This window comes from Homo sapiens, chromosome 20 (genome assembly GCF_000001405.40).
Source record: "Homo sapiens chromosome 20, GRCh38.p14 Primary Assembly".
Taxonomy (NCBI): domain Eukaryota; kingdom Metazoa; phylum Chordata; class Mammalia; order Primates; family Hominidae; genus Homo; species Homo sapiens.
This window is the reverse complement of record NC_000020.11, coordinates 40,874,414-40,899,404: the sequence shown is the minus strand read 5'-3', so window position 1 is coordinate 40,899,404 and position 24,991 is coordinate 40,874,414. Positions and strand designations below refer to the sequence as shown.

At 45.4% G+C, this 24,991-nt stretch overlaps 2 annotated features.

Moving 5' to 3' along the window:
* Window positions 1,813–1,986: a silencer, noted in NCBI's record as "fragment chr20:39526059-39526232 (GRCh37/hg19 assembly coordinates)". NCBI's record gives its function as "represses an EF-1alpha promoter that drives an FKBP-Casp9 reporter gene in an ReSE screen in K562 erythroleukemia cells {active_cell/tissue: K562}" and the evidence as "EXISTENCE:reporter gene assay evidence [ECO:0000049][PMID:32094911]".
* Window positions 6,443–6,502: a silencer, noted in NCBI's record as "silent region_12911". NCBI's record gives its function as "represses an Ori minimal core promoter by ATAC-STARR-seq in GM12878 lymphoblastoid cells {active_cell/tissue: GM12878}" and the evidence as "EXISTENCE:reporter gene assay evidence [ECO:0000049][PMID:35858748]".

The following is a 24,991-nucleotide window of genomic DNA, read 5'->3' as shown; positions in this document are numbered from 1 at the left end:
TTAGATCTTCTCCCCAGACTTTGCTTTTGAATACTAGGCCCCTGCATCCAACTGTCTGTTTTATATCTCTACTTGGCATCTTTTTTTTGAGATGGAGTCTCTCTCTGTTGCCCAGGCTGAAGTGTAGTGGCAAGATCTCGGCTCACTGTAACTTCCACCTCCAGGATTCAAGTGATTCTCCTGTCTCAGCTTCCCAAGTACCTGGGACTACAGGTGCATGCCACCATGCCCAGCTAATTTTTGTATTTTTAGTACAGACGAGGTTTCACCATGTTGGCCAGGCTGGTTTTGAACTCCTGACCTCAGGTGATCCACCCACCTCAGCCTCCCAAAGTGCTGGGATTACAGGCATGAGCCACCATGCCCGGCTCTCCGCTTGGCATCTTACAGGCATCTGAAACTCACTATGTCCCATAGGAACCCTTAGTCCCCACCCCTACCCCAGCTTTTCCTCCCCAAGTCTTCCTCATTCAAGAAAATGACACCATCTTCCAATTAAGTGCTGGAGCCAGAAACTTAGCCATCATCTCTGGTACTTCCTCTTCCTTCACTCGTTCCCAATATCCAATTTATCAGCAAGATCTGCCAATGTGACCTACAAAACATATCTCGGATCTATCATTACTGTAGTCTAAATCACCATCTTTCCTCCTAACTCAGTGCTGTCCTATAGAAACACAACGAGAGCCACACATAAAAGCTTACATTTCTTGTGACAAAATTTTAAAGAAGTAAAAATAAACAAGTTAATTTAGTTTTAATAATCTATTTTATTTAACATGATATATTCAAACTATTACCATCTTAACATGGCCAATATACACTATGATTGAAATACTTGTTCTTTTGCTTTTTGTGTCCTAAGTCTTCGAAATCCATTGTGCATTTTACACTTACAGCATATTTCAATTTGGATGATAAATTTCCATTGAAAATACTTTATTCGTATTTAGATTTCATAACATTTACTGTTGGAGAAAGTAGAATTATGTACCTAGGTTGTTCCAAACATACTTCAAAGTTTTAAAATAGCTGAATTAAGTATTTTACTTTAACTTTAATTAATTTAAATAAAATATAATATTCAGTTCCACCATTCAGTCATTCAAAAGAATAAATGTCTTTTGCAGCAACATGGATGGAACTGGAGGTCATTACCTTAAGTGAAACAACTCAGACACAGAAAGTCAAATACCTCATGTTTTCACTTATAAGTGGGAGCTAAATGTGTACACGTGGATGTAGAGAGTGGAATGATAGACAATGGTGATTCAAAGGAGTTGGGAGGTGGGAGGGGGTGGATGATGAGAAATTACTTAATGGGTATAATATACATTATTCAGGTGACAGACACCATAAAAGCCTTGACTTCACCATGATGCAATGTATGTATGTAACAAAATTACACTTGTGCCTCTTTACATACATGCAAAAATAATATAAATAAAAAATGAAGCCTGTAGCAAAAAATTTCATTTCCTCAATTGCACTGGCCACCTTTCAAGTGCTCACTGTGGCTGGTGCCTGCTGAGTTGGACAGTGCAGTTTGAAGCCATCTCCTCTCCCAATCTTTCCTCTGTCCAACCGATTCTCCATGAAGCACCTGGAGACATATTTCAAATATGCAAATTAACAATGTCACTTCTAATCAGACCCAGGATAAAAACAGAAACTCCTTCACATGCTCTATAAGGCTTTGTGTGACCTGGCCCCTGCCTCCCTCACTAAGCCACTGTCCTCTCTTGTCAGTGTCTCCAGTGACCTCAGTTTGACTTTCTTTTAGTCCTTCAAATGTGTCCCGGTTGGTATTGCTGAAGTGTCAATTGTGAAGTGGGAGTGAAGTAGGCCCTCAGGTGCCTGCAGGCCAGGTGGTCCTGGGGGTTCAGGGAGCCCCTGAGGGTGTGGGTTGGGGGCAGTGGGTGGCTAGGATCTGCATTCACTCTCTGTGACTGCTTCTCTCTGCCCCTCCAGAACTGAGGTTGAATCGCATGCTCTGGGCAGCATCTCTCTTAACACAGGCAGATTAATTGAAAGCAGATGTCAAGCAGTGGGAGTTAAATACAGACATCTCACCAAATGTCAGCCTTTCCCCTGGGTCACGATGGAGTCCTTGTTTCTCATCCTCACCAGGGAATTGGGAAAAAGCCTCTTAGACACGCTGGTGGCATGGTTGACCCTGAGAGTCATTTTGCTCTTCTGAAAAGTGCTGGGCAAATTATGACTCTGAAATTGGAACCTAAGCGATGAATTTATTTGTATCAGATGCAGACAAACAAAAGGCTCTTTCAGAACAGCTGACTCTTACATGGGTGCCCAGGTGGTTGGGGAAGGACCACAGAACCCTCAGATCATAAGAACTGGAACGGATAGTCTTATCTTCTCACTTCAAAGTGGGTAAAACTGAGGCCCAGAAGATGGAAGGGATGCGTCTAGCGTCACTCTGCCGCTTAGTGTTAGAGCTGGGGATGGGACTCAAAGCCAGAAACTATTTTTTTTCTTTTATTTTTCTCTCTGTCACAGACAGGGCCTCACTAGCTCTCCTAGGCTGGACTTGAACACCTGGGCTCAAGTGATCCCGCCACCTTAGCATCCCAAGTAGTTGGGATTACAGGCACACACCATAGTGTGCAGGGTTTTAGAAATTATTTTCTAAAGTGTAAATCTGACGTCTCCCTCCATGCCACCCTGTTGCCTGGAGAATAAACCCGAACTTCTTGGCAGGGCTGGAGGTCCTTTATCTCCTCCCAATTATCTCAGCCTCATCTCCCCTAGGCTAAGGGACTTCCTTGGTTTCCTAAACATATCTTTCTGATATTTTTGCCCATGATATTTCCTCTATCTCATCACCTTAGTAGTAAACTATTCAACCTTCACAGCCCAACTCAGATGTCTGACTTTTCAGAAATCTTCTCAACTCCTTGGTAGAGTTACTTTGCCCCACTTCTGGGATCCTACAGAACAGAACATGTGTCATTGGAATTACTTGTAGATTTTCTGTCCTACCCTCCCTGCCCCCAAACTACTGCTTTATTTGACCGTCGCTTCCCTGGAGCTTGGACCCTGGAGCACACAGTAAGCACTTAAATATTTGTGACATTGGCATTGCCAAAGCCAAGGGACCTCTTTCTGTGCTTTTTAAATTAGGTTTTTCATAGCATCTGATGCCACCAAACTCTCTCTCCTTGAAATGCTCCCCTCTCTTAGCACCTATGATTCCTGGCTTTCTGGGCTTCCCTCCCACTTCTCTGACTGTTCTGCTGAGGTCTCCCTTTTGGACATCTGTTATAGGCTGTGGTTCTTCAGGGATGTGTCCTGGTTCTCTGCAGTCCTCTACTGGAAAGCCTTCTCTGTCTGGATTAGGTGTCACGGGACTCAGGACCTTAGCCTTTGCTGTTCTGTCTCTGGGACACTTTTCATTTCTTTTTCTTTTTGAGACAGGGTCTTCTCTGTTGCCCAGTCTGGAGCGCAGGCTTACTGCAGCCTTGACTTCCTGGACTCAAGTGATCCTCCCACCTCAGCGTCCCGAGTAGCTGGGACTACAGGTACACACCACCATGCCCAGCTAATTTGAAAGATTTTTTGTAGAGATGGGGGTCCCACTTTGTTGCCCAGGCTAGTCTCAAACTCCTGGCATCAAGTAATCCTTCTGCTGTGGCCTCCCAAAGTGCTGGGATTACAGGCATGAGCCACTGTGCCTGGCCTTTCCCGCTTCATTTCTAGCATGACCATCTTCTTTTCAACCTTCAGGTTTCAGCCCAAAGGTTGCCCTCTCAGAGAGTCCTTCCCCAACCACCTAAGTCACCAGCCTGGGGCTAAAATTGAGCAGCAGGAAGGACCTAGGCAGGGCAGAGCACAGGTATCTGGAGGTGCTGGCATCTTTAGTGCAAGTGCTAACATCTCGAAAATCCACAGCTGGGGGTTCCACTTCTGAATCCAGAGACAGGCAGGCCCCAGAGTTTTTGGGTTATTAACTCCCCTCAGTAGACTTCCAGTGAGTGTGATAAAACACTCAGCAGAATGCAGCAAGAGCTCATAAAAGCAGGATTTAGTGCCATTTTATAGATGTCAGGCCTGACGTCTATACTCAAGCTGGTATATATTTAAAATTCATGCCTGACTTACTGCCTTTGGGGAAAAAGCCTGAGGCCTGCAGGGAGAAGATGACAGGCTCCATGCTCACCTGCAAGCTCTAGCACACCTGGAGCGGACACCAGGGTGGGGGGCCTCCCAGCAGGAATCATGCTGAGCCAAGCTGAGCCTCACTCCACCTCCTTTCAGAAAGCAGCCCTCCTCATGGTCTGTGAGTACGAGCTTTGGAGCCAGACAGGCCTGTGTTTGAGTCCTGGCTGGGTGACTAGCTAGGTGACCTTGTTTGCCCAGGATGTGGGCTTTCAGTGCTAAAACCAGGCAAATGCTGGCATGCCAGGATGAGTTGATCGTCCTAAGCCCTGGCTCTACTCTTTCTTTGCTTTGTAAACTTGGATGGATCCTTTCCCCCTCTGAACCTCATTTCCCACAGCTGTCAAAAAGGAACAGTTAACCTATTTTGTTAGTCGGGTTAATCAGTGCAGCTGCTGTGACAAACAGTCCCCAAATCCCTGTGGTTTAACACAATATGTTATTTCTTGCTTCTGTGGCAGTATAATACGGGTTAGGCAACTTTATAGCAGTGACTCAGGGAACCAGGCCCTTTAATTCTGTGGCTCTGTCTTTCCATAGGGCCCCCTCAGGTTTCCCCACTGTATCCTGTGAAATAAGCCAGCCAGGTTTTAAGGCAGGGATCAGCAAACTACACTCATGAGCCAAATTGAATCTCCAGTTTATTTTTATAAATAAAGGTTTATTGGTACACAGTCACACCCACCTGTTTACATATTATCTATGGCTGCTTTCATATGACAGTGGTAGAGTTGACTAGTTGTGACAGAGGTCATACGGACTGCAAAGACTGAAATATTGCCCAACTAGTCCTTTACAGAAAATGTTTCCTGACCTCTAAGTCTGTGGTTAGGCCTGAGAGTGGTCAGGGAAGTGGACATCAATTCCATTGCAGTTCACAGGCTGCAACTCAGTCTAATGATCCCACACTAGTTGCAAGAGAGGGTGGGAAATGTAGAGGAGCACATGAATTTTGCACTACAGTCCCTGCCATACCTGCCTCTCAGGGTCACTATGCAATTATAATAAAATAATGTCTGGAAGCTGTTTTTTAGAGGATCTGGTACATAGTAACTCTTTCATAATGAAACCCATGGTTCTCCAAGCCTCAGGGATATGCTGAGTGGCTGGGATTTGCGATTGTGTGGGAGGACCCCTCTCCACTCTTGGAAGAAGGCCCTGGAGAAGACAGGGAGCTGGATTGGTCAAGATTCTTGGTAACCAGGACATGAACTGAGTGCCTGGTTCCATTCCATCTGGATTTGGGGCTCTGGCTATCTCTCTGTGGCAGCTGGGTCAGGGAACAGGAAGAACTCAGGAATGCTTATTTGAGCCCTAAACCTAACACATCCCAAAATGATTTTTTTTTCTATTGAACAGGATAGATGCTGTGTGTTTACCAGACTCAACCCTTGGGATATTGCCCAGGATCTAAGTGACCTGGCTGGACCTTTGCAATCTGATGCCTGCTCACCCTACCCCACCCCTGACCTTGTCCCTGACTAGCATTTAAAAACAGCAAGCTTGAAAAATTAAAAAATACTATTAATCATGGTATATGCAAGATATATAATATTGAATATATATGTTATTACTTATATTTTTACTTTTGAAAGTAACTATAATACAACTTAAAGTATCAATTGAGGGTTAGTCAGTACTTAAGCCTGATAGTTTAAAGTTAATTCACTAATGTGAGAGTGATTACTCACTAATAATAAAGAAGAAATTTTCATTTTAGGTTCAAGTTTGCTAAGTCTTCCCCCTTTTTGCATTGATTTTCCTAAAAGCTGATACCTGAATGTACAAAAACATGGCATTGAAAACACACAGCAGAATTGTCAAGGCTTTTTTTTCCCCAGTGATGCAAGATATGTTTTTGTAATAGAAATCTAGATCTACTTGGCAAGAGAGAAGGCTGAAGGTTTCATTTTTGAGGTTGTACTCTGGAAATAGAAGTTAATTTGTTAAATAAAATAATATAAAAATCAGCAATAACAGCACTGCAATCATGACTTCAGTTGCAGGGGGTCTTGCAAAGTCTATAAAATTACCCACAATGATCAGTCTAGGCGTTGGGTCACCCTTTAGCACCAGGTCACTCTCTGAGGAGACCCATTTGCTGTCATGATCCAGAAGGAGGAAAAGTTCTAGCCTGTCCGAGAAAGTACCCACTCTTTCTGGTGTTTGAGAGCTGAGCCCATGTTCCAATTTATGCTGTCAACTCAGCTCAAGGATTGCAGTCATGAAAGCAGAAGGACTTCAACACAGCAGTGTGCATCCTCAGGCTGTTTGACTGTAGCAATGCTGATGCTCTGTACAGGTCATCAGTTTCAGTGCACATCCCCACCTGCTGTCCTGACTTGGGTATGTTCTCAATGGCTAGCCTTTGTGTCTTCTCTTTTCTTTGGAAAATTGGCTTGGGCTATTAGAGTCACTTTGTTCACATAAACAGAGAGCCAGAATGTTCCCGGGAGTTTACAGTTTCCGTCCTCACCCTCATCTCCACCTATTCTCTTGTTGGAGCTCTCTTGCCTTGGATCAGGGCCACCCTGCTGTGTAACCTACTCTGTAGAGCTCCCCTGTGAATAGGCTGAAGCTACCCTCAGTGGGATTTTTGTCTGGGACTACACCTTGCTTGGCTTCTTCCTCTTTCCTATCATGTTTTTCTGTCAATCCCTTACCAGTATGTCTGGGGAGCACTTCTCTAATACATCACTTGCACCCAAGTGTTTGTTTCAGATCTCAGAGTCTGCTTGTGCAGAATGTGACCTAAGACATGAACATCTACAGAAATGGGTGCTGCCTCTGAAGAGTTTGTGTGACTTGAGAACCAGGTACACAGCTATGGGGTAAAGAATGGGGGGCATTGAAGGGCTGGACTTTCAATTATGGAGAAATTTAGACAATAGTGCCCCACCTTTACGAGTATGGACTTTAGTGCCAGACAGACCTGTCACTGACATGCTTTCTGTGGCTGTGAGCAGTTTGCTTTACATCTCTGGGCCTGAATTTTTACCTCTGCAAAATAGTGATAATGGTAATAGCTACTCCATGAGATGGTTATGGGGATGAAGAAGGAATGTATGTAATGTATACATACATTTACATTCTCATGCATGTAAAGTGCATGAGCACAGTGCATGCTAGCTATTACTATTATTTGGCTCAAGGTATTAATATTTTTTGGCTTGAGCTCCATCCCAGATTTATAATCATGACACTAGCCTGGTCAGCAGCCCTGGGGTGGCCAGTTTTCATTTCTAGGCAGAGAATGTGTAGTTAGGAGAGAGAATTAATTCCCTTTTTATTTAGGAAAAGGGGAAATATTTAAGCAGTGTTTATTGTAGCCTTGTACCAATGGCGTACAGTACGATTGATTGATGCCTCGGGGGTGTTGGTTGTTAAATGTTTTTAACATTGCCCTTGCCTGGGGATATCCTGATGAGCCAAACTGGGCAGATTGTTTGCTTTGATTTGACATATTCTTCAAGAAGGTAAGCAGAAAAGACTGTAGACTGAAGATGGAAGCTAATATGTATCTAGAAACTTCTATGGGCCAGTCATTATCTCATTTAATTCTCCAAGTCCTACATGATTGGGAGTATTATCCCCATTTCCCAGCTGAGGAAATAAAAAGCTGGTAAAATAATTTGTGCAGCATCAAGTGACCAACTCACTGGGCCTGAGGGAGGTTACCCAATGTCAGGAGGTTACCCAATGTCAAGAGGTTACCCAGGCTATCAAGTGGTACAGCAGAACTTCAAAATAGATCTGTTTTCCCCAAAGCTCCTGTTTATTCTAGCACAAAGAGTTAAAGGAAAACACTGAAATTCCACAGTAAAATTCTACAGGAGACTGGGCATTGAGAATGAAGTAAAAAATCACAGAAGTTTTTAAGGTAATACTTGGAATTGAGGATCTCAAAGTCCCTAGAAGCCCAAGGAATTTGTGCTTGTAGAAAACACCTTCTAGGCTCAATTGCAGAACTTCCAGAAGGTTCTAAGGACCTTTCCTCTTTCAGTCGCAGTTCCTGATGCTATCAGAGTGAGAGTCTCTTTACTAAAGACCCATTCACAGTAGTAGTGAATGTCCATTTTGTTGTTGGTCGGCAGTATTGAGACAGCATGTAGGAATAGGGACTTCAAAATCAAGCAGACTCAAATTCTGGCTCAGCCAATTAATAGTGATGACCCCTTGGGAGGGTACATACTCTCTGTTTTCTCAGTGGCAGAATGTACCTGAAGGTCTTATGTAGTAGGTGCTCAATAACATCCCCTTCTTAGTTCCTGCCTCTTTGCCTTGTTGCCTGTGAACAAACCTTCTTTGGGGATTCTGTTCAGGGATCACCTCTCTTGATCCTCCCCAAACCAAGTAAGCCAAATTTCTCTTTTTCTGCTGTCTCAGCAGAAAACTGTGTGAATACTTTGATTATGGCACTTGCCACATTGTGTCATAACAATCTGTTTAAAAATCTGTGTCTGTCAGAAAGCCTTTGGCTGCAAGTAATAAATGATCAAATTCAAAGTGGCCTATTCAGTGGGGAAATTAATGATGTCAAGGACCAAAGAGCCTAAAGCAGCTAGACTCTGTCTCTGAGATTGAGTGGTATCATCAAAAGGGAGAGAGGAGGTGGTGGCTTTAAAGTAAGGATAGATTGCCACGTATTGATTGGCGCAGGCTACTTGGTATCTCTTTCTGGAGGTGCGTTAGGTGGAAACCTTGAGAGATGATTCTTGTAGTGTCTCTGAGATTGGGCCCAACCCAACCCTCCTGTCCCCTGATGGCTGACTCTAGCTCCTTCTGATTCTGACTTCCTCCTGTCTCCTCTGCTGCTGGGTGAGGGAAGCTGGTCTATGTTTGGAGGTCCTCAGATTTCATCAGGAAGTTGAATAAACCAGTGCATGAAATATATCACAAGCTAGGCAAATCCCTAGGCTGCAGCAACCTGGGAATATGCTCAGTAGAGGAAACTGTTGGTAGGGACAACTGCATTCAGAAATCCTTGGGGGAGATTATGATAGTATTCAGGACCCAGCAGTGGAGTTTTCCTCCTCTCCCACCTTCTCTCCCTTTCTGACACTGAGCACATCCTATGTTTGTCTTACACCACAGAGGCCACCAAATTGAGAAAATGCTACTTCCTTTCATTGCTTCTAATTTAGGATGGTGTCTACTTTTTGTAAGTTCATCCTCACATGCCTCAAGAATCAAATGGTCAGGTAATCGGCTTAGCAATCAGAAAAATCCCAGCTCTGCTAGTTAGTGGCTGTGGAACCTTATGTAATTTACTTAATCTTCCAGAGTTTCACTACCTTCATCTGTCTCATGGGTTAATAATTATATCCACCTCCTAGAGGTATTATCAGTATAGAGTGAGGTCATGTAGGTAATGCGCCTTGGAGAAGACAATATTTCTAGGAATATCGATGGATATTCTGCACAAAGAGAGTCAAGTAAATCAGGGAAACCCTGGGTCATCCAGGTTTATTTACTGCAGGATCCCTCAGAACTCTGAATAAGTTCTGAACAATAATGTTCATTGTGACCCTCTAAGAAAGGTATATTAGCAAGTGGTGCTTCCTTAGTATATTTGACCTTAGAGTCTTATTTGGAGGGCATCTGATATGATTTGGCTGTGTCTCCACCCAAATCTTGAATTGTAGCTTCTGCATGTCACGGGAGGGACCCAGTGGGAGGTAGTTGAATCATGAGGGCAAGTCTTTCCTGTGCTGTTCTTGTGACAGTGAATAAGTCTCACAAGATCTGAGGGTTTTATAAAGGGGAGCTCCCCTGCACATGCTCTGTCTCTTGCCTGCCGCTATGCAAGGCGTGACTTTGCTCCTCCTTTGCCTTCTGACATGATTGTGAGGCCTCCCCAGCCATGTGGAACTGTGAGTCAACTAAACCTCTTTCCTTTATACATTACCCAGTCTCAGGTATGTCTTTATTAGCAGCTTGAGAACAGACTAATACAGCCTCTCATGGAACTAAATCCATTGCCTCAGCTCTGCATTTGGCAAGCCAGGTGTGGCTACCCATGTCCTGTGTAGGCCCATGTCTGGTACTTCCTTAACCTTAGGGTGGCTCTTCTCTTTGAGGTAGAGGGGATATCCTATGCAGAATGAGTGGAGCTCTGCCTTTCCTCCCACACTCAGTGAATTCTGGGAAACAGAAGACTTAGCAATGGCCTTCTGTATGCTCGCACGCATTTCTCACAATGCACAGGGGTTCCTAACATGAAAATGTCTCAAGACAGCCCTGGGCATTGGGCCCCCAGGGTAGGTGTGGAATTGGAAATGCACTTGGAAGGTGGTCCTGAGGGACCCTGGCATACAGGAGGCTACCATGCTCTTCTGATACCCAGTGCCTTGCTGTTCCATTTGTTACCACAGTGAAAGCCACTTGAAAGTCATCTCCATGATGAAATGATCAGCAATTTACGGAATGAAATAAACCTTTATTTATTATTATTATTTTTTTATTTTTTGAGACACAGTCTCACTCTGTCACCCAGGCTGGAGTGCAGTGGCACGATTTCAGCTCCCTGCAACCTCCACCTCCAAGGTTCAAGCGATTCTCGTGCCTCAGCCTCCTGAGTAGCTCGTATTACAGGCATGTGTCACCATACCCAGCTAATTTTTGTTTTGTTTTGTTTTAGTAGAGACAGCGTTTCACCATGTTGCCCAGGCTGGTTTCCAACTCCTGACCTCAAGTGATCCGCCTGCCTCAGCCTCCCAAAGTGCTGGGAGTACAGGTGATAGCTACCATGCCTGGCCAAAATACACCTTTATATTTAACATGCCAAATGAGGTAGCTTACTGGGCAGACTCTGCCAGGCAGAACCATCTTTAGCTTCCTTGGCTGCCAGACTGATGGATGCTGGAGCTTTTCAGGACACTGGCTCAGACAAGACTACACTCAGCCATTTCCCACCCCCAAATTTCAGTTTTCCACCCCGCCCACACCCCCCCCCCACAAAAAACCCAGCAGTTTTTCCTGGCTTCAACAATGCCACACAATGTTTCCTTCTGTAGTGGGTTTTGTCCCCAGCTGTCTTGGGCTGTACTGGTGTGGATCTTCTTACGGCAGCTGAACTCATTGGTGAAGAAAAGAAACCCCTTGGGCTGAGGCATCAGAGTTGTGGTGTCCCCTGTCCCAACAGCATGGCTTTGATCCCCACGATGTGGAGTTAATTTGGTGTTTCCAGTGCCAATAGGTGTTCATCAAGCCTTTATGGGATGAGCAGAGCCTCTGAGAAGTGATTCTTGGTCCATTTTGGGGGATCTGATGGAATCTTTGTTTCCTATTCCCAGAGAAATACAACACGGATTCACACAGACACAATAGCACACTGTCTTGACACTGTATTAGGGCACTGTGAATCTGCTCTCTTACTTACTTTTAGGGGTCCCCTTGGGTGTCACTTTCCTTCCCTGTAGGTTGGCATCAGCGGTGCCAGTGCCAAGGCAACTCTAGCATGGAGAGTGATGGTGAGACACGGTGGTGGAGGGCTTGTGTGTGGTTATCGGCTGTGGGGACAGTGATGGGGAAAAGAGTGTGAGCTTCCCCTGTCCGGAGATGGGGATGGGCAAATCAGGACTGAAGGAGGAGGAAATGGTGGGGTGGGGGCTCTGCAGGATGGGGAGGAGCAATGAGAGAATGGAGGCGGGGGGGGGGCAGGAGACCAGAGAGGAAGGGGCAGGGGTGGGGCAGGTGGGAATCGAGGGGCAGAGGGAGCAGGGGTGCCAGATTGGGAGGCATTCAGGACAGGGTGACATGTGAGTGACGCCCGGCGACTTAAGAGAGGAGAAGTTGGCGGCCTGAAAGGGAGGAAGACAGAAAGCAGGGCTTTTCAATATGAGCATTCATGTCACGGTGACAGCAGTCATTTATCATGCCCTGAATGGGAGCGCAGGGCCCGGCAATGCCGCCAAAGGCCTGTGGTTAAAGTTTTACCTGAGTGTGAAAGGGGCTGGGGCCTGGCCAAACAGCGGCCCTTCCGAGGGTGCGGAGGCGTCCCCGCAGGGGCCCATCTGTTTGGAGCAGAAAGACTCTGGTACCAGGGGAGGGGAGCCATGGGCCAGGATGTTCCTGGGCATGGGGACCCCTCCAGGCATCCTGGGCCAGTGGGAAGGGGTCTGCCTCACACAGGGACCTGGAAAAGCCAGCTTCAGGCACTGGGTTAGTCCCCAAATCAATCTTGTGAGGCTGCTGGGATGTGGGGCAAGGGAGGGGCACATTTTGTTAAGTGGTATATTGACATTTAGCTCAAACTAAAAAGAAAATTATTTAGTATTTACCATGTGTCGGGCACTGTATCTTCTCTCTCTCTCTCTCTCTCTTACTCTCTCTCTCTATCTCAGGTGGCTATCCTGGGAACTGAGGAGTTTCCTGGGATTCAGGACTTTTTGTGCTAAATCTGGGACAGTGCCGGGCAAAACAGAACAGTTGATGACCCTAATGTGAATTCATTTAATCTCACAATAACTCTTGGACACAGGCACTACCATGTACCTCCACTTACCAGTGAGGAAACAGGCACAAAGAGTAAAGTTATGTACCGGAGGACACAAAGTTAGTAAGTGGGAGAGCCTGGATCTGAAGTCTGGTTTGGAAGTCTGAGCTCCCAGCCTCTCCACTTTGCTGCCTGGAAACCTGGAGAGAACACCAGTGTGGTGAGATTTTCTGAACCAAGAATCAGGACAATGAGGTCTGATGTGCTCATTGGTCTTTAGGACCCAACATTTGAGACAGGGCCTGTCTCCAAGTCCTTGGTCTCTCTGGTGCACAGAGGGGCCAGCAATGGAGGAGCCAGCCTGTCCTCAAGGTGTGCAGTGTTTTGAGTGTGAGCCGGGCTCTGATGCTTGTACAGGAATGTGGTTACTGAACCCCGAGGTCCTTGCCAGAACTCCTAGGCCAATAAGGACCAGAGGGGAAGGTCAGTGAGGACAATCGTGTTGGGACTCCAAACCTCAGCAGGGTTCAGAGAGCTGGGGAGGAGGGGGAGCAGTGTGGGATGCTTTGCAAGAAGGTGCTACACCCTAGCCATGGGCAGGCACCTGGACGATGGCAGATGAGGCAGCACAGGGCTTACAGTAGTGTTCCTGGGCAGGAACCACTTGCCTGGTTTACCATCCTGGGCTGTGGTGTGCTCCAGTTGTCCCTGAGCCAGGCTCTCTCCAGGGAGAGGAAGCCAATTCAGATCCTATGAGTTAAATCCCCTCTTCAGAGGTCATTTGGGAGAAAATCCAAACTTGAACTGTCTTTCTTGGGGACTGTGCTGTTGGAGAACTTCAGGGCAAAGAATTTTCTGGATACCAAGTTCATACCCAGCACTTGGGCTGTGGTGCCAAAGTGGGAAAACAAGAGGAGGATGTTGTGTGTATGTGTGTGTGTGTCTATATAGGGGAGGGGGTTGGAAGGTGACAGCACATGCAAAGGCCCTAGAGCTTCCAGTCTTTGAAGAACTAAAAGACAGCTTGTGAGGTGAGAGTGAGTGAGTGGCAAATGGCCTTAGATGGAAGTGCAGATGGAGACCAGATCCTTCAGGGCTCCAGCACCGTGATGAATAGAGGGGTTGAGTGGATGCATTATTTTAGTAGGACAAGGCTTCTGAGTTTGTTACAAGATCTCAGTGTTAGCATAAAACAGTAGGTGTGTTGGATAATGAGTAGAGGCATTATGGGAAGAGCTGTGTCAGAACTGCAGAGGGATGGGATGTCAAGAATGGCTGGTCCTGCTGGGGGGTCGGGGGAGCACAGAGGCAGCTCGGTCTCTCGGAGCTGCCCCTGCCGTTTCCCTTCCACCTGGTCCCTCTGGCCTGTCATGATTGCCTTGGAGGCACTGAACAGGGAGCCTGCTAGGGGGTCCTGCATTTGTGTCCTACACAGGGGACATTAAGTGAACAGAGTCCCTCTTGGTTTTTCATGTCATTAATTGGTGATCTTCAGACTCTGAAATAGCATTTTCCCTCTTCCATCCCGTATTTCATTATCCTCAGTTCAATACACATCAGTGCTGCACGAAGCAAGTGGCTTGGATATATTAGGAATTATTTAAATGACATGGGGATGTATGAGTAGTTAAAAACACTCATTTTTTAACTTAATTCTGCTCTAATTATCTATCAAATTATGTTACAATTATTCCCAAATATAAACTTGCTGAGAACCTCAAAAGGGGAGGTTCTAGGAGCATCAGGAGAAAAGTGAAACAGGATACAGCAGGGATGTGGTCCTAGTCCCTAAAGATGTTCTGAAATCCAGGTGTGCATGTGTGTGTGTTATCAACTCCATCGCCATGTTGTGTCCATTATAGGTGTTACTGGCTCAGGCCTTGGCAGGCATGGGTGAGCAGAAAGAAGTCTTGTCCAGCCTCTGTGTCAAGTCATATCCTAAGACTCTATCATTCCCCATCTGTGTGATCTAAGAGAAGCCTTGTAACCTCTCTGAGCCTCAATTTCCTCCTCTGTAAAGTGAGGGTGATAACAGCAGTTGCCTCCTGTGGTGCCTGGCACATAGGGATCTCTTGGAGAGTGGGTTGAGCCATCATTGTCACTGCTGTTGCTGACCATTTGGGTCTGTCACCACCATCAGATTCTCTAAGGGATGGAGACCTCTGAGGCTGCCCTCCCCATCTGGGGCTTGCTTCCTCTGCTTAGCTGTTCAGGCTGAGCTGGGCCTGGGGTGGCCGTGGCTCAGGGATCGGCTGTAGCAAGCAAGGCTCCAGCTTCAGGCCTTGCCTCCAAGACTTGACCAATGCTTACAGAGCACTCATGTGGTGCAACACCTCTTATATGATGTTCACCCAACCCTGGGGGAGGAGATGAGCCTGCCCAAAATGTTTCAGCCAAAAAGTGGCAAAGCAGGATTTATATCTCAGTCTGCTTTGGGGCTCACATGCTCCAGGAGGTGAGAAGTAGCCACTTGGTTCTCAGGCTGGTGAAAACTCAGGTTTTCTCCTAGTTGTTTTCATTTATTTGTTTTGTGCTATTAGCCAGCCTCCTCTGTAGCTCTTGGGAAAGGTCCTGATTAATCTTTATTAATAACTTATTAATACTTATTAATCATCATGAGGCTAATGATGTTGCAGGGCTCTGAGGGGCTATTGCATTCCTTTTCTCATGTGCCTGCTGTCCATACCACTCACATTCCAAGCCTGGGGATAGGAGATTGGGAGTGTTTCTGTCCGAGGAACACTTTTTCCTCCTGTCTGGTTATTAGGTAGGTAAGGTTGCCCAGGACTGTCAAGGCATCTTCAGACAAGACCCTACTATGTTCCGGGGTCTTGTTATGGGTTGAATTATACCCCTTGAAAGATATTGAAGTCCTGCCCCAGAGTACCTGTGAATGTGACCTTATTTGGAAATAAAGATTTTGCAGATAATCAAGTTAAAATTATTATCATTAGTCATTAGGGTGGCCTAGTCCAGTATGGCTGGTGTCTTTATAAAAGGGAAAATTTGGACACAGAGACAAAGACACAGGGAGAACACCATGTGACGTTGAAGTCAGAGATCAGAGTGATGCATCTACAAGCCAAGGAATGCCAAAAATTGCCAGCAAACCACCAGAAGCCAGGGGAGAGGCACAGAATAGATTCCCCCTCACTGCACTCCAGGTGTCAACCCTGCCAGCACCTGGTTCACAAACTTCTAGCCTCCAGAACTGTGAGACAGTAAGTTTCTGTTTCTTAGCCACTCAATTGGTGGTACTTTTTTACAGTAGCCCTAGTAAAGAGATACAGAACTCAGTGGTGGGATGGAAGCAGGGCAGAGGAGTGGAGAGGTAGTGGGTGAGGACCAGGAACCTGGCCCCACCAAATGCCCAAGGGTGGTTGGTGGCAGGCCTGGTCTGGGCCAAGCCAGAAGCCATCTTTGTCCAAGGGTGAATGAGGTCTTGTCACAGACAGAGATGACATGCCGTCACAGGGATGAGTTATCTTTGGCTCTGGGCCAGGAATCCAGCCGGGAACTGAAGGGAAGGGAAGCAGGCTGCAGTCTTGGGGGAAGGAACTGGTAAGACCTGGTTATTATGGTGGGCTTCAGAGCAGAGATGTCTGAGGCTCACCAGTGACCATCTCTTCTGCTTATATTCCACTAGCAAAAACTAGTCATATGGACCTACTCAGATTCAGGGGCCTCTGGGAATGTTGTCTAGCTTTGTTTCAAGTGCCCCTTCTGTCTGACTAGTTCTTGCTGATGGAATGTAAGGAGAAGAGATTGGTGCTGCCTCTGAGCAGAGGTAGTTAAGAGGGAATGTGCCCTTTCCACACTTTGTCTCCTTTCCTGTCTAATTGGCTGAGTGGATGGGACTCAGAGAACACAGCCTTGACATAAAGGGGACTTGGAGGCTGGGCATGGTGGCTCACGCCTGTAATCCCAGCATTGTGGGAGGCTGAGGCAGGAGGATGTCTTAAGCCCAGGAGTTCAAGACCAGCCTGGACAACATGGCGAAACCCCATCTCTACAAAAATGCAAAAATTAGCAGGGCTTGGTGGCATGTGCCTGTAGTCCCAGCTACTTGGGAGGCTGAGGTGGGAGGACTGCTTGAGCCCAGGAGGCAGAGGTTGCAGTAAACTCCATGCCACTGCACTCCAGCCTGGGCAACAGAGCCAGACCCTCCCTGTCTCACATACACACGCACAAAAAAAAAAAAAAAAAAAAAAGAAAAGAAAAAAAGAGGGACTTGGGGCCAGGATCCTGGAGTCCTTGCTTGGGGATAACTTCCTGGAGAGCTGCTCAGTCAGCTATACCCTTGGGAGTCTTTTGTTGAGGGAGAAATAAATGTCATTTTGCAAAGCCACTGATATTCTGTGGTTATCACGGCAGTTTAGAGAGGAAGGATGGGGGAAAGCTGGGTTGCGCTCTAGGCCTTGACACTTCCTGCCTTTGTAGTGTTAGGCAAACATGGCAACCCCAGAAAACTCAGCTGCCTCAGTTTTAAGGCATGCAGGGTCTTTGTGAGGACCATATAAGCCACGTGGAGGGGTCTAGACCAAGCATAGTGCTTGGAAGAAAGGGCGTGTGTGCTAATGATTTATGTCTCTTTTCTTTCTGAGAGTCTTGCTCCCCAACACCAGAGGTGAGACCACCTGGAGTGACCGTCTCTTGACTAAATAAAAAACCTCTTTCCAAGAAGATCTATCCTCCAAGAACCACCTGGATTCCCCAAGAGATTCTGGGGTCCCCAAACCTGACCTTGGAGCCTCTTTGATTTGCAAGATTGCTTATTTCCATTTTAAAGGAAGCATTTCTAATTAAGGTAAACCAAAACCCATGTGCTATTTTTGGATGCAACTTCCTTTTAGTTTTTGTAAGACAATTTGAGCTAATTATATGTAAAAATCATTCCTGGGAAAATTATATAATTGATGCAATTTACAAAACAGACTTTTGCTATTATTTGCACTGCTGCTTTGCTGTGAAATTAGTGAGGAGCATGAACGCTGGACCTGGGTCAGTGAATTCCAAGAGAAGGGGGCCTAGTTGTTCCAGATCTAGGGTGTGGCTCTCCAGGTGATGCACCAGGTTCTCACTGTAGAGATCCATCCTCTCCAGAGGGAGCCTAGGCCATGACAGCTGACACCAGCCAGGCCCTACTCACTGTCATTGCAGTGTCAGGAAGATTCACACACACAAGGCTTTCTAGAACTCTCAGCTCTGATGTGATTCACTAGTATCCAGGTATGAGGAAAGCCTCTTGGGGGGTGCTTTGGGGGAAAGTGAGGGAGTTCTTCAGTTTACGGAGGCCTCTGTCCTGGGTGTTATTTTATTTTTTATTTTTTTTTGAGACAGAGTCTTGCTCTGTTGCCCAGGCTGGAGTGCAGTGGCTCAATCTTGGATCACTGCAACTCTACCTCCTGAGTTCAAGTGATTCTTCTGCCTCAGCCTCCAGAATAGCTGGGATTACAGGCACCCACCACCAGGCCCCGCTAATTTTTGTGAGATGGGGTTTCACCATGTTGGCCAGGTTGGTCTCGAACTCCTGACCTCTAGTGATCCACTTGCCTCAGTCTCCCAAAGTGCTGAGATTACAGGCATGAGCCACCATGCCTGTAATTAAAACACCCTAGGTGGTGTTTTAATTAGTGATGTGGATCAGGGCTCTAGCATAGGTTAATCACACTGGTAGATGACATGATACTGGAAGGGATAGTAAACACGTTGGAAGACAGGATTAGGATCTGACCATCTCTTGACAGGCTGAAGCTATGTTAAAACCTACCAGGAGGAAATCTAACAGTTGCATCTAGAAAATCACCCACTAGGTATACAGTGGGGGAAGATGAGACTCAGCAGCAGTGTATCAGTCAGGGTCCAATCAGGAGACAGAAACCACACCAGGTATCTTAACAGGAAGAATTTTGTGTAAAGACCATTTGTCATCAGAAAGCTGAAAAGGCAAAACGTTTGCACATTGAGATATTATGAGAGAGCAACTGCAGGAAGCAGCCATTGAGGGCTGAGGGAACAAAGGGAAGAGGTTGGTATTATTAAAAGTTAGAAACTGGGAGGAAGAGCCTCAAGGAGCTGGGACTCAGACCTCTGAGGAGGAAATGCCAGCTGGCAAGTGCTGGTGTCTTTTGGGGGACGTGATGAGACTGGTTCTGCAAGGGTTGAAAAACTGAAAACTGAAGTCAGTTTCAGTTGCTGGAACTAAATGCTGCTGCCAGGGTAAAGTAGCACGTTGAGACAAAGCTACCTGGAACAGGAGCTAAACCATGAACAGAGAGGAAGCATGAAGGAGCATGCCTCTTCCTCTTTCAGCCTTCCAGTCTCCCTCTAGTGCCCCTGTTGGCTAAGCCTGACATGAAGCCTTCTGGCCAAGAAAAAATGTGGTTTACAGAGTCTCAGTTCTAGCATCAGAAAGCAGAGCTTGGAAGGGTAGGTTTGAAGCTGGTAGACAGTAGCTTAATAATTGACATAATATGAGTCAGTAATAATGTAATATAGCTATAGGATGTATCATTAGAAGTATAGAGCCTAGTTTGAGGGAGGTGATAGTTACTTTTTACCTTGAACTGGTCAGATGTCTTGTATTCAGGTGTATGTACTAGAATTTAAACAGGATCCAGGTTTCCTAGAGCTCACCTAGAGAAGATAACTTAACCTCGGGAGGAGATTCAGAACCACAGCAATATTAGCAACACATGATCAGAGGAACTAGAGTAGACAGAAGAAGCGAATGTTGTCTTCAAACTACTGAGGCTGCAGGTGAGAGACAGCGCTGACTTGGTCTGGATAGTTCCAGGTAATAACAATAGGGGGTGGCTCCAGAAAGGCAAGTTCCAGCTTGGGAAAAAGAAAACTTTGTTTTCCTTCAAAAAGAAAAATAAAACACTGCTTTCTTCTGATTGTAGAAGCAATGCCTGCTTATTGTAGAGAACTTGGAACATCCAGGTTACTGAGATGTCAGCTAAGGTGTAGAGAGAGAGACATTACCTTTCAGAGTTCCAGGTGAAATGAGCTAGACTGCTCCGTTCTGTAAGGGGAGGGTATTCAGTGTACTTGCCAGGAATTCTGTGCATTTCCTGGTGGTTTATGTTCTCCAAGCTTTCCCCTCTTCCTAGGGTCCCCCCTGCCAATATTACCCTGAGACAAAGCTTGGCCTGGCATCAGTTTTCCCCATGGTCCAGGCCTCAGGGATTCAGCTTCTAGCCCATGTGCTCATCAAAGCGTTTCTCCAACTTAGTTTCTTTCCTAAGAGGAATGTTGGCACCATGTCTTAAGATAATTACATTTTTTCCACCTTATTGCATAGAGAAAAGTTTAAAGAAGCAAATAAAAATCATTTGTAATTATACCTCCCAAAGATGACCACAGTTAACATTTTGGCCTTTTAAAAAATGCACAACTATATTCATTTTAAAGGTAATTGGGATCATAGTGAATATACAATTTTGTATCTTGCTTTTTTCCTCCCCACTTAACACATGAGCATTTTCTGATATTTTAAAAATATCTTTTTATCATGGTGGCTTAATATTCAGCTCTTTGTCTGTACCATAACTTGTTATGGGATATTTTGCTTATAACTGATTCTTTTTGTTTTTTTTTTGCTTTCATGACCAGTTTTCTCATTTGTATCTATGTACATAAATCTTTGTGCACATTTTTAAAAAATTTCTGCATATTTTTTCACATTTTATTGTGAAATTAACATTTTATTTTATTTTTTTTAAATTTCAGTAGGTTTGGGGGGAACTCGTGGTGTTTGGTTACATGAATAAGTTCTTTAGTGGTGATTTCTGAGATTTTGGTGCACCCATCACCTGAGCAGTGTACATTGTACCCAATGTGTAGTCTTTTATTGCTTACCTCCCCTGACCCTTTCCCCCAAGTCCCCAAAGTTTCATTCTTATGCCTTTTCATCCTCATAGCTTAGCTCCCACTTATGAGTGAGAACATGTGATGTTTGGGTTTCCATTCCTGAGTTACTTCACTTAGAATAATAGTCTACAATTCCATCCAGGTTGCTGCAAATGCCATTATTTCACGCCATTTTATGGCTGAGTAGCATTCCATGGTGTGTGTGTGTGTGTGTGTGTGTGTGTGTGTGTATACACACACACATATACACCACATCTCTTTTTTTCTTTTTTTTTATTATTATACTTTAAATTCTAGGGTACATGTGCACAATGTGCATGCTTGTTACATATGTATACATGTGCCATGTTGGTGTGCTGCACCCATTAACTTGTCATTTACATTAGGTATATCTCCTAGTGCTATCCCTCCCTGCTCCCACTACCCCACAACAGGCTCTGGTGTGTGATGTTCCTCTTCCTGTGTCCAGGTGTTCTCATTGTTCAATTCCCACCTATGAGTGAGAACATGCGTTTTTTGGTTTTCTGTCCTTGTGATAGTTTGCTGAGAATGATGGTTTCCAGCTTCATCCATGTCCCTACAAAGGACATGAATTCATCCTTTTTTATGGCTGCATAGTATTCCATGGTATACACCACATTTCTTTATCCACTCATGAATTGATGGGCATTTAGGCTGGTTCCATATTTTTAAAATTGCAAATTATGTGCAGATCTTTGATAATTTCTTGAGGATAGAATCTCAAAGAAGGATGGCTGGCTCAACTGACATATTCAAAATATCTTTTATTACAGGAAAGCTCTGGCTATACATAGGAGAGAATAGTATAATGGGCCCTCCTACCCCATCATGGATCACCCAGCTTCAACAATTACTAACATTCTGACAATCATGTTTTATCCATCTCCTCCCCAGTTTGTTGGAATATTTTAAAACAAGTCCCAGATGTTGTATCATTTCTCCTGCAAAAGTTGTTTTACTTCTCCATAGGTAAAATAACTTATTAAAAACATAACCAGAATGTTATTAACATACCTACACAAATGAACAATAATTCCTGAATATTATCTAATGTCAGGCCATGTTCAATTTTCTCCAATTATCTCAAAAAATGTCTCTTTAGAGCCAGCTTGTTTGGATCAGCATCCAAATGAAAGTCCACGTTTTTCATTTGGTTGATGCAACTTGCAAGTCTCTCTTAATCTATACCATTTCTCCCTCCTTTTGAAACCATGCTCTTTGTATATTAAAGAGTCTAGTAGAAAGAATTTTACAGTCCTTGATACATGTTAGAAAGCTGATTTCCAGGAGGGTTGTAACAATTTGCGCCTCTTCCAGCAATGTGAGGGAGTGCACATCTTGTCATCCCCAGCACTGAATATCATTGCAATTAAGAAAAAATCAATTTGATAGGTGAATGATGGCATCTTATTGCTGTTTTGACTTGCATTTCTGTGATTATATGCATGATTGAACATTTTTTTCACATGTATATTGGCTGTTTGTATTTCTTCTTTTGTGAATTATCTGCTTTGACCTTTGCCCCTTTTAAGAAGTGGTATTGATTATCATGCTCAAGTTTATAAGAGAGAAATTTTAAATTTTTATGTAGTCACATTCATTATCTTTTCTTTCGTGAGTTCTTCGAGTGTTTTAATGCTTAGAGAATCCTTTTTCTACTCTCAAATGTCATTCATATACATTTTCTTTTTCTAGTTTTTTTGCTACATTTTTACTGAGTTTCTAAATCTCTGTGGGATTCCGTATGGTTAAACCATTGGTTCTAGTATCACAGATTGAATAATTCTTCATTTATTCACTAGTTTGTGATATAGCTTTATTATGTGCTAATTACATATATGTATATTTACATATAAGATATATATACACACACACACACACATTGGTCTGTTCAAGAAGAACTTGTGCAGTCACTCATTTCCCAGGGGGCCTCCTTGAGCAGTAATGAGTGCACCATTGTGGGAGGTGTGCAAACAGGGACTAGTCAGACACCAGATCAGGCTGGGGTCTTCTGCCCTTGGCATTCTGGGGGTTTCTGGTTTCTCTGCCCTGGCAGGCCCCTGCACCTCCTGTCACCTTCTCCTGCCTCCAGGATGGACGTGCAGATTTCTGTTTCTGTCAGTGCTGATGGTAGGGATATGGAGCCTGGACTTCACCAGAAAGGCCTGGCCTGAGGGACCCAAGAGCCCTTTTGGCCAGGCTGCCTGCTCACACTGTGGACTCACGTGGTGACTGAGATCCAGGCTCAGCTCTAAGGAGAAGTGGAGATATCCTTTGCCCTCATACCATTTCCCCTAGTTTTTTTTTTTTTTTTTTTAATTGAGAGAATAAAGAGTCATGCTATGTCACCCAGGCTGCTGGAGTGCAGTAGCTTGATCATAGCTCAGTGCTGCCTCTGCCTCTACCTCCTAGGCTCAAGAAATCCTCTCACCTTGGCCTCCCAATTAACTGGGACTACAGCTACTCTACTCCTGGCCAATTAATTTTTTTTTTTTTTTTTTTTTGTAGAGATTGGGTCTTGCTTTATTGCTCAGGCTGGTCTCAAACTCCTGGCCTCAAGTGATTCTCCTGCCTCAGCTTCCCAAAGCTCCCGGGATTACAGGCATGAGCCACTGTGCCCTCAATTTATAACTTCAATTAATTCTTTTATTTGCTCCTCCCTCCCCCGGACCCACTGGACCATAAGCCCCAGGGACAGAAGCCTTGCATTCCTCCTTCCAGCACCTGGCCGCACCTAAGAGTTAAAGAATATATGAACGGCCCCTTGGTACTGGCGGGTGAGGGCTCTGGTGACCTCACAATCTGAATAAAAACCAGAGACTGTTGTCTGACCAGAACAAATGCTCTTTGGGGAACAAAGGGACAGAATACCTGAAATTAAGGGCCATCGCAGAAAATCCAGAACAGCTGGTGGCCACAGGAAAGGCCAAACCTCCTGAGTCTCAGGTCTGTGTGGAGCCATGAAAGTCACTCGTTTTGACTCTGAGCTGACATCTGACCTCTAGAGTCAATTATTCCTCCTCTCCATGAACATATTCCCGACAAAATGGGGTCAGGAGACATTTGCATCCAAACTACCAAGCTCTTTAAATGTTGGGGCCTGGAGGCCTGATGGGTTTATTAGATTATCATTGCGGAAGTTAATAAAGAATTAATTTCTCTTCATATGACATCCAAAGGCAGTTATTTCAGGAGCCTGTCCATTTACACAAAGCTGAGTATTTGTCAAGTGTCAGAGGCAATTCCCAGGTCCCAGCCCCCCCTCAATAATTCTGGATTAGGGACAGCCTGAAATGACATTACACAAATTTTCTTTCAAGATGCATGGAGCTCTGGGGACCACTCAGGAATTTCAGGTTCCTGAAGGTTATACTGTCAGCAAAAGGGCTGGGGGGTGGGGGTGGCTGGAGCAACTGCAGCTTCCCAGCTGGGCCAGCTCTGGACCGGGGCGGGGGAAGCTCAGGGAGGGAGGGGGAGGGAGCCACTGAAAGCCATTAGTCTGTGGGGGCCCATTTGCCTCCTGAAAACAACTCACTGCCATTTGTATCGCAAACCTCGTGACCAGCTTGATGGTTTTTTCTTGTTCTTTGCTCAGGCCCAGGGAGGGGCCATGGGATGACCAGAACTGCAGGACTGGCCCACGTTACCTTGTAGCAATATATTAGGGAAGGTCAAGGCACCATAAATACCTGTCTTAGAGTTAAGTGCTAGGAAGTGGAGCCACTGCAGGGACAGACACTACTAGACCCTAAAAGCAAGTCATTGAACAGCCAGGCATCCCCGAGAGCCAGGGAGAAGTCCCTGGGGCTGGGCTGGTGGGATGGGGGCCTTAGTCTGGTCCAAGGTGGGCTCCCTGGAATGGCATCAGGAGGGTGGTGTGGAGCAGCTCAGCCCTGTTGCCAGAGCTCCAGGCATGGGCATTTGGCCACCTCCTAGACATCACTCCATGAGTGTTCCGCAGTCCCCTCAGACTCTGCACATCCCAAGCTGAACTCTGCATCTCCCAATCATCTCCTCCATGTACCTGATGCTCCAGCCAGGTGGAGCTCCTTCTTCTTCCTCTAAGTGAATCAGGCCCCTACAGACTTTTGTGCTATTCTCTTTCGTAGAATGGCTCTACTTTCTTTCCACGTCTGTTCTTTTTTTTGAGACTGAGTCTCACTCTGTCACCTAGCTCTGTCACCCAGGCTGGAGTGCAGTGGCAAGATCTCGGTTCACTGCAACTTCCACCTCCCAGGTTCAAGTGATTCTCCTGCCTCAGCCTCCTGAGTAGCTGGGATTGCTGGTGCCTGCCACCAAACCCAGCTAATTTTTGTATTTTTAGTAGAGACGGGATTTCACCATGTTGCCCAGTCTGGTCTTGAACTCCTGACCTCAAGTGATCTGCCTGCCTCGGCCTCCCAAAGTGCTGGGATTACAGGCTCCATGTTTGTTCTTTAAGATCTAGCTCAGATGTTACTTCCTCTGTGAAGGCCTCTC